The following is a 9,896-nucleotide window of genomic DNA, read 5'->3' on the forward strand; positions in this document are numbered from 1 at the left end:
TTCTGGGTCTGTAAACTACCTCAAGTCTGGAAATTGATTGAGGGGTCATGATTCTCTGTTTTTGTAATTCCAGTTAGACTTCTGTTCACTTACTGGAAGTTTTCTGCTTATAGGGATCAAATAAGAATGTATGAGGCTTCCTGCCTATTTCACTTCTAGGAACACCATGATGAATTAGCCATTCCAGAGCTCTACACTAGTCAGAGTGTTTGAAATGCTTGTTTCCCGGTGCCGTAAAGAAACAGCACTTGAACATAAATTTAATTTACTCAGCAAGGCCATTTTTACTTCCTGCAGAAAGAGTACACTCGCCAGCAGTTTTGCCATGAGAGTACACCAAGCAAAGGGGACGGAGTCATTTATAACCTGATGCGTCCACCCTACTGCTGTGTCCAGTTTCCATTGGCTGGAATGGGACCTCACATTCTGTATTTAGTCCCGATTGCCTAGCAACTTAGAACTTTTTAAAAGAGGCAAAGGCAGAGGAGAAAAAAGGAAGGAGGAAGTAACTTGTGGAATGCTGAGAAAGGTAAAAACACCTTTAAATAAGGAAGAGGAACAGGCTATGGCCTAATGCTTGCTTGGACCAGTATAAGCATGCCAGGGCAAATATTCAGGCTAAATTGCAGGAGCTAAGAACGAAAGTACATTGATTTCTTTATCACGGCTAGCAGATATTGAAAAATGTTAGCATAGTTCTTTGAATAAATTTTGCTCCTAAGAGAAGTTACTACTTATTCCTAATTAAATGGAGGGGAAAGTCTTTGAAGAGGAACCTCTACTTTGCTTTTTACAAGAGTATTCTGATTGTTGCTTTGCCTCGGCTGTCCATTACAGTAATTGTGCCCACCTTACCTTTGATGTTTGAGTGCCTCCACTTGGCCTCTGTCACCTTAGGATCCAATTATTCTCATTGCATTTAGGTTTTCCAATTGAGTGACTGCAGTTCCCACTCTAAAATCAGGCATACAAGAGAGCACACAACTCTTCAAGGATACTGGTGCTCCCCTCACAAATGTATTTCACAAAGTATTGGTGAACGGTGTGTATTCTGAACCCTCCCAGTTGAGTTGAGTAGGTCTTTTAAGTGACAAATCCATTCTAGCATTCCAATCTCTCTAAGCCTTTGGAGGCCTTCCTCTACATTAAATCAAGGGAGATCAGTCCTTTCCAGCTTGCTCACAGTGGGCTATATTTTGATCCATGCTTCAATTAACCAAGTAAATGAACTACTGGGTCTTTTTCGATTCCTCATGTTGCAACATTAAATGCAGAATCTCTTCTTAGTGGTCCTTTATCACTAAATTCAGCCTGACCCAACTTTATGTTCCTACCTCCACTATCCCATACCCTTACTATCCTTTCCCATAGCTGTCTCCTGGATTTCTGCTTATATACATTAGAAAACTTAAGTAGTTCTTTGGGAGTGTAGTTACACCTTCTAGTGGGTCACACTCTGTACCTCACCTCTAGGGGCATGCCAGGACTTGAATCTAGTTACAGGTCTAGAAGCACAGTGGGGTCCTGGGGATGGGTCCTGAGGAGAATCAGTGTTGTTTTGCCTGGCAACTGCCTTAAGGAAGGCCATCATTGTTTCCTCAGGCAATGCAGGGTTAATCTCCTCAGACAAAGGCTGAAAGGCTCATACTACTGTGGGTAGGGGAGATTTTGCTACCAAGGAGGGGAGGTGGGGAGACCACTTCCTCTGGCAAAACAGGCTCATCAGAATTTAGGAACTCAGTGTCCCCCACTTCATCAGCGTCCTCCCACATGTTCTGATTCTAACTTACAGGGTTTTATTCTTTCCTAATCAATGCCCTCACTTTAACAGTAGACACCTCGTGAGGCTAAGAGTGCACCTTTTCTTGTAGGTTAGCCACTGGCATAATAAAAGCCTGTGTTTGATTTTCAGCAATTTCAGCCCTTTGTCTACTGAAGAGAAGATTTTCACCCAGGGCACACTTGGAAACTTTTAGGTTATGTATGTGCTTCTGGAGCCAGGAGCTAGAATCCCTGAACTCATCCCTTTTTTTCACCACTTTGTCCAGTAAACGTAGGAGCAATCAACCAACTTCATTATATTCTTTGGTTCTCCACAAATGTTCAAAGGTATCCTTTATAGAATAACTAAACTCCTTGTCTCTCGGGAATAGTGAATCAGCATATCAAATGCATTTATTTTTACTATTGGTGCTCTCCCTACTATTAGAAGTAGAGTTTTTAGCATTTTTAAGACTAATCACATTAGAGAAGCAACTTCAGAAACCCAAAACCAACTAAGGAAATTCATCCTTAAAATTCCGTTCGTTTAAAATCACTCCTGGTACCAAAACCTGTATGAGGGTTCTCCAGAGGGGCAGAACCAATAGGTTATATGCATATATACAAGGGATTTTATTAGGGCTAAGTGGCTCACATGATTACTAGGTGAAATCTCCTGATAGGCTGTCAGCAAGCTGGGAATAGCCTGTAGTGTGGTTCAGTCAAAGTCCAAAAGCCTCAAAACCAGGGAAGCCAACAGTGCAGCCCTCAGTCTGAGCCCAAAAGCCTGAGAGCCTCCTCCAGGCGGTTGCAGGTACAAGCCCTGGAGTCCAAAGTCCAAAGAACCTAGAGTCTGATGTCCAAGGGCAGGAACAGAGGAAGCAAGTGTCTGGCACAGGAAGAAGAGAGAATCAGAAAACTGAGCCAACTGTTTATCTCCCTTCTTTTGCCGGCTTTGTTCTAGCCCCACTGGCAACCGTTGGATGGAGACTGCCCACATTGAGGGTGGGTCTTCCTCTCCCAGTCCACTGACTCCTCTAGCAACACTCTCACAGACACACCCAGAAAAAATGGTTCACCAGCCGTTTAGGCATTCCTCAAATCCAGTCACGTTCACATCTTATATTAACTATCACAGATATCAAGGCTCATTTAAGAAAATGACCAAACTATACTATAAATATTCTACAAATTCCATAACTAAGTTTATTTTTAAAAGAAAGTTATAGGAATTAGCCTCAAAGCAGTGTTTTATCTTGTTTTGGGTTAAGCAAATTGGCTGGTAGAAATGCATTTTTCCCAGGTGTCTGAGAATAACAGCAACGTGGTCTCAAGTTTAAAATAATTATCTGTACAACTCCATGGATATTGTTAATAATTTATCTTTTTATTGTTCTCTAGATGCAAAATATAAATGTGTTCTAAGACTGTGAAAATCAATTAAAATTTATTATGCAGGAGAAATGTGTATGAGGTATAAAAATGATTAAAGGGAATATTTATGGGAGGGGTAATATGAAACGGCTCATCTCTTATTGTTCCCTACATAATACATACCTAGGGATTTATAAATGAGAATCAAATTACATGTTGGGGGTTAGGGAGCTCAGATAGCTCTCTATATACTGGTTCAACAAGAATTTCTTCAATAAGTTTATAGAAAACTTGGGCCACATTTGGGGAAAACAAATTCCATGTATATATTGGAGCTAAAACAATGAAAGCCTAGTTGTTTGAGCTTGGTTAGGTGTTCCCCTTCAGCTTACAGGTTTGTTGAATCCAAATTTCTGAATTTTAGATAGCTTTGGGGTGTGAAGTGTATGTATGACTTGTCCATATGTATACCATTTACATAAACAATTCTCTTATTCACTGTACAGAAGGAGAGGTATATCGTCCCTTTAGGCAAATCGGTTATATTTAATGGTTCAAGAACAATGAAAGGCAGATAATCTTTACCTAGAGGAATAAAGCCCTGATAGGGAAGAGTGAGTATGGCGTTTCTTACAGGACTACTGGAATTAAGTTTGGAAGGAAAATAAAGAGAGGTGAATGAGCCCCCATTCTTTGTGAAATAATTAAATAGAATTAATTTTAAAAGGTAATGCTAAAAAATGTTGAAAATTAAATCAGGAGAATTTCCAAGGAACTCAGTAAAAATAAGCTTATCAGAGGGGAGAAAAAAGTTAAAAAGAAAAACATAAGTAAATAACACACCTTATATTACTACATATTACTGTTAATGTGTAAAATAATGTATATTTATTTTTTCAGCATTATAAAGCTAGAAAAAAAGTTCTGGCAGCATAACTTACATACTAAGAGCTAAATAAGTCTTAGAATATTGCTATATTGAATCCTAACCTCGCCATAGAATAGTTATTTTGTAGGACTTACAGCTACATGGCTCATATATGCCAGCAATCAAAGGCTTATATTTACACTTGGTCAGTCTGTGAAATATTTTTGATAGGCCTATTTATGAGTTAGCACTGGTTATGATTTAGGTAGCCTACAACTCAGGTTTCATATTAGGTTTGACAATTTTTCCTTCATGTCACAAACTTTTCATGTTGAATGAAGCCTCATAAAATCATTGGCAGGGGGAGCATGTTCACAGACATGCACACACACACATACTCACACACACACAGCCATAAAACAAAGCAAAACAAAAAACAAGGTGCCTGCCTTGCTCTATTTCCCCGTGCTTTCTCCAAGAACACCAAAGGTGGTCTTTAGTATCTGTAGGCTAAAAGATTATGAAACTGTGCTCCATCTACCCTCCACATCAATTTCTCAATTATATAGAGCATGCTGCAAGTAAAAAGATTTTTTGAAGTATCTTTTTATTTCAAAAGGCATCCTGTTAATCACATACACTCAGCAGATCTTTAACTTGGCCAACTTAATGTTCTTAAAGTTCTTCCTAAACTTTATCTGTAATATTGTAGAGTTGACAACCACAGTGGTACTGTCACTAGGTAGGATCAAATTGCTATAGATGTTGACATATGATAATAGACTCTTAGGCAGTGAAGATACGTTAGGATACTTTCTCTCCCGTACCTCATTTTAGAGTTCAATAAACAGAGACAAAGAGAAGTGAACTGTCCATACAGCATGCAAGTAGCACCTCTAGTTCCTAATGTAGTCTAATGCCATTTTGCTTTTTTTAATTTTTGAAAAAATAAACACAATAATTATTACAAATAAGATGTATATAGGTACACTGAATAAAATTTTTACATTTTAAATACATTGAACTTGAAAAAAAATGGGCATATTTGGGTCCCAGGGAGGTCTCATAAATGGAATACTTTTGAGAGACTTGATTTTATTTAACAAAGACAGAAAAACATGCCTCATACACATTAAAAATCTAAAATGTATCATTTACCAGACACCTACTAAGTCAAGCATTATGGAAAACACTGGGAATAGAAAAACAAAAAAGTCAAAGGTTTGGTCTAGAGAATAGTGCACTCTCGTATGACAGTATGTTGTCTCTACAATGCACAGGTTATTAAAGGAGGACCATCACAAGAAAGAAAATGTTCAATAAGTATTTGACAGTTGGATTATTTTTATTAGCTAAATAAAATGGAGTTTTAAATTTAATACTTTGCATATTTTAACAATGAAATTAATTTTTATTGTCATAAATCTTGGGAGAATTCGTAACTAATACAACAGATTAAAAGTACTGTTTTCCTCACTGAGCTCTTTAAAGTTTGTAACATCTGAATCATTTTTTTGTCCTCTTACCAATGTTTTATTATACTTTTCCAAAAGGTTAAGTCATGACTTAGGTAAACATAAAGTGAATATCTTTCAATGATCTTTACTTAGCTCATTAATTGAGAAGTAAAATAAAACTAGTTCAAAGAAGAATACTAGTGCAAGTGCAAGTATTTTTAAGCAACATAAAGGAGCGTCTAGGCAAGATTGTTGGGTTAAATACAAAATCAGTTAATGTCCAACAGGGCAATACACCATAATGTTTGAGATTATCTTTTCCACAGGACAGAAACTATTGCACACCTGTCAGAAGAAGAATATTCAAGTTGGCCTCTGCCCCTACAGATCTGTAGAATAGCCCAGTCAATCAAATGTCAATCAAAGGGGCAAGCCCATGGCTGCACTGGAAAAAGACCTAGTAATTAATCTCTTTGGCCTTAGTTGGAAGTTTGAGACATCTTTTATTCACACCAGTATGCCTTGATTATTAAGACACTCTCAAATAATTTCTCTTCTCTACGTTCTACATCACTCACTTGCAGAATCTATTTGGCCTGAGTTAGTCTTATTATATTTTTTAAAGTAAGTCCATGAGCCAGTTGCTCAACTTCTATGGCAGAGAAAATAAAAAAGAAAATGTCTGAGTGGGAAGCTTTATTTACCTGGAGAACAAAACCTTCTGAAGTTTCTACTATCTAGAATAGGTTCAACCTACAGTTTGTTTAAATGCCTGTTTGAGGTCAAGAACATTTAAAGTATTCACACATTTTCAATGGGTACATGGAAGCATTAAATCTGGCTGTTTAAACACACTGAAAAAGCAGAAAATATGCGATTTCTGAGTCAGTTGATCTCGAGTGTCCCTAAAAAATTTAATAAGTCTGTTAAGCCCTCAAAAGCAATGCTTTTGGAAATGTTTTTACATTAGAGTTTTGCCTCAGGAGCATCTAATAATTTCCTTGTTTTTATAAGACATAAATATAGAGGTATTGTTGCTATTATTACACTAATTTTCATTCTCTGTTTCTATCACTGCTTTTGTGACAATAAGGGAAAAGAATGTCTGCAAACCTAGTTGGGGGAAATAAAAAAATGGGTTTCAAACGCAGAGTATAGAAGAAAAACTGAAATTTTTGAAGTAATATGTGATAGAAATTAATTCATTATTAAAATACTACTAAAATTATGCAACATGATAGCAAATGATACAGTCTGCTATAATATCATATGATTTGAAAACAGTATATGAAAATGTTTCAAAAAGCATAAGAACTGTAGCTATATATGTTTTTCCTTTGTTTGATAACCTCTTAATGTTAAATTGTACTGAAATTTTTTTGTGTGCAGTCTTTGACTTTTTATATTTTAAAAAGTTAATTAAATTTGCAGTTCTAATAAGACTGTTATCCAAGAAAAAAGATGATCAATATTGAGCTTAGTTTTAAAATATCAACCTCATAAGCTATTGAATAATTTTCATAAGGAATATTTATTAATCTTCAAGATTTATTTTAATCTTTTCATTATTTAACAGAAGAAGCCATTTAGATTTTACAGAAATGTAGCTCCTCATACATTATATTGTTCCTATGAAGAATTAGATTGAATAAAGCTGCTTTGAATAAAGCTCGTATTACCAGGTGTGTACGTCAATAATTTTTTAAATGGACTATTACGTTGACATATTTAGTTTCTGAACAAGATCTCAAATTTAAAAATTGTAGAAATCATGAAAAAATGTGTAGTCCAAAGTCATATAACAAAATTTTATAACAATTTTCTTTAGTTGTATTTTCATAAATAATTCAGATTTTCATTACTTTATTATTACTGATGTTTCACAGAGCTACAACTGTGTGCTGCATGATCTAGAAAAAAATACGCTAGCAACTAAAAACTTAACTGTGAAAAGTGTTGCCTTTTTCTTTAAAATCTCTTAAAAATCTCATGTGATTTGCTAGTACTCTTTCTGATAGTATAGAAAGCAAAATAATTCTGCTGCGAAAACAAGCAAAATTTCTTCTAATATACAACAGCTGAGTGCATCACTGTCTTTACAAAGAATCCATTCCTTTTCTAGTCACAGGTATTTTTTTAAATCAAGTTTCTATTATGGGTACAATGTGGTTTAGTGAAGGTTCTCTTTTCTTATAGAAGAAAAATTAGAAAAATGAAAAGGCAGCCAGAGCCTAAAATTGTTTTAGTTTATGTTATATTGTCCTTGAAAAGAAAGAAAAGAGGATAATTTAGCCAAAAACAACAAACATCCAGTTACCACAAATTCCAGCTTCTCAGGTTCAGGGTAAAGGAGACCAGTTGACTCAGGGATATCAAGGCTGCTGGTGAAATTAAATACAAAAATATACTGTCCTTTGAGTTTCCTTTAATAGATAGCGTTTGGAGGGAATCTCTATGCTTGCTATTTAAGCCTTTTGTAAAACAATAGAAAGTAGTGGAGATGGTAGAATCACATTTTCTAAAGTACACATGCACTCATTCAGAACTTCAACAAAGAGAATAAATTCTGGCTGCTAAGAGGAAAATAGAAGTAACAGTTTCCTGAGAATTGTTAAGCCAACACACTATTAAATATACCACCTAACATTGTTCTTTTCCTCTCTCTTTTCACTCTTGCAGCTACCACATGTGATGGAAAGAATCCAAGTTAAACACTCTCACCAGAGCATGCTCCAAGACAGATGACTGAGCCCCAGGCTTGGCCAATACAATGCACTTCTATTCTCTATTTATTTTTGTAGTTCAAAGACCTGGCAGTAACCCACTTGATGCCTGCCATAAGGACCAGTACACTCCTGATTACTGCCCAGCGATTTTATATCTGTATGCCAGCTACTCAGACCACGTATAAAGACTAGGGGGATTTTTTGAAAGGAAAAGAAACCCCGGCTTCCACTTATACTTTGAAATTTCAGATGATGTACTGCCAACTTACAGACCTTGCTTTAATCAGCAGCCACATGAAAAGGCTGTTTCTATTTACTCTAGGTCATTTAGGAAACAAGCAATAAGTAGGCCTTGCAAAATTTCAGCTTCTCTTAAAGTTGGCATGTTTTCCTCAAATAGAGAGTTGAATCTTGATTTCATTTTCTGAGTAGAAATATTTACAATCCTGTCATACATGAATTTTAGCCTTCCTTCTGTCTAACAACAAATAGGCTTTTTAAAGAATGCTTAGCGTTAAACTGGAGGCTGTTTTGTAAAGGTGGGTCTGTATAGATTTGAATAATGACTACGCTGCTTTACTGCTCTAGTTAAAATTTCATCAAATACTGACTTTAGCTGGAAAAAGATAATTTAAGCCCATCCTATTTTAGTTTTAAATTGTGTATATATAAAAAGGTAATCTTGCAGAACATAAAGTAACAACTACAATATTCAGAAATTCATTAATATTAGAAAGATAAAAAATGATTAGGGTACCAATATGTTCTTTGGTCCATAATGAATTTCTTTTCTCTTGGTTGTTCATACTATTTTGATTATCAGTGTAATGAAGAGATTTTGTGTAGTCCTTAATATTGTGACAAAGTATCATATTTGTATTATCAATTTTTAAAAAATATTTTCTTCCTTTATTATGTAGAGTCAATATTACACCATTTTCTGCTGTAAACTTGCAACTTGGTATCTGACACTTCACACTTCACAATTGTAAAAGCCTTACAACAATACAATTTCACTGATACCCTCACCATCTGCTATGGACTAAATTGCATCCACCCAAATATTCATATACTGAAGCCTTACCCTAAATGTGACTATTTAGAGATTGGGCCTACACAAAGGTAGTTAAGATTAAATAAGGTAATAAAGATAGGGCCCTGATCCCATAGATTAGTGTCCTTATAAGAGGAGAGAACAGAGGAATGTGGGCTCTCTCACCCTTACTCTTGCTGTCTCTTTTTATTCTCTCTCTCTGCCGTGTGAGGACACAGAGGGAAGACATCTGTCTAAAAGCCAGGAAGAGAGCCCACATTAGAACCAAAATGGGCCAGCATTTGGTGCCTTGACTTAAACTTCTCAGCCTCCAGAACTGGGAGAAAATGAATTTCTGTTATACCAATCTATGGTGTTTTGTTATGGCAGCTTGAGCTAACTGAAATGCTATTTTTCATCTCTTGTGCTACTGTTGTAATATTTTAAGTTTTATTATAACTATATAACTACATTTAACAATTTTTGTTTTATTTTTCTTATTTGTTTTAAACAGTCTGTTTTATTTTTTTAAGGGAAATTGGGACATTTAACAAAACCCTTTTATGCTTACTGTCCCCTCTCCTGCCCCTTGTTTTTAACCATTTCTAGTATCTTCATTCCTAATAATACAGCCAAGTTTCCATCTGATGTCATTTCTTGTCGGTGTAATGAACATT

At 35.7% G+C, this 9,896-nt stretch overlaps 1 long non-coding RNA gene across 5 annotated transcripts; it reads left to right on the plus strand.

Annotated features, from left to right (window-relative positions):
* The first annotated feature begins 466 nt into the window (after positions 1–466).
* Positions 467–9,694, plus strand: LINC02379 (long intergenic non-protein coding RNA 2379). Of its 5 annotated transcripts, none has more exons than NR_183805.1 (4): positions 467–529; positions 3,642–3,809; positions 7,037–7,142; positions 8,140–9,694. It is a non-coding gene; the product is annotated as a long intergenic non-protein coding RNA 2379 (long non-coding RNA). The 5 variants fall into 5 exon arrangements; NR_183806.1 differs by having other exon boundaries at positions 3,642–3,749; NR_183804.1 differs by lacking the exon at positions 3,642–3,809.
* Positions 9,695–9,896: the final 202 nt, after the last annotated feature.

Source organism: Homo sapiens, chromosome 4 (assembly GCF_000001405.40).
Source record: "Homo sapiens chromosome 4, GRCh38.p14 Primary Assembly".
Taxonomy (NCBI): Eukaryota; Metazoa; Chordata; class Mammalia; order Primates; family Hominidae; genus Homo; species Homo sapiens.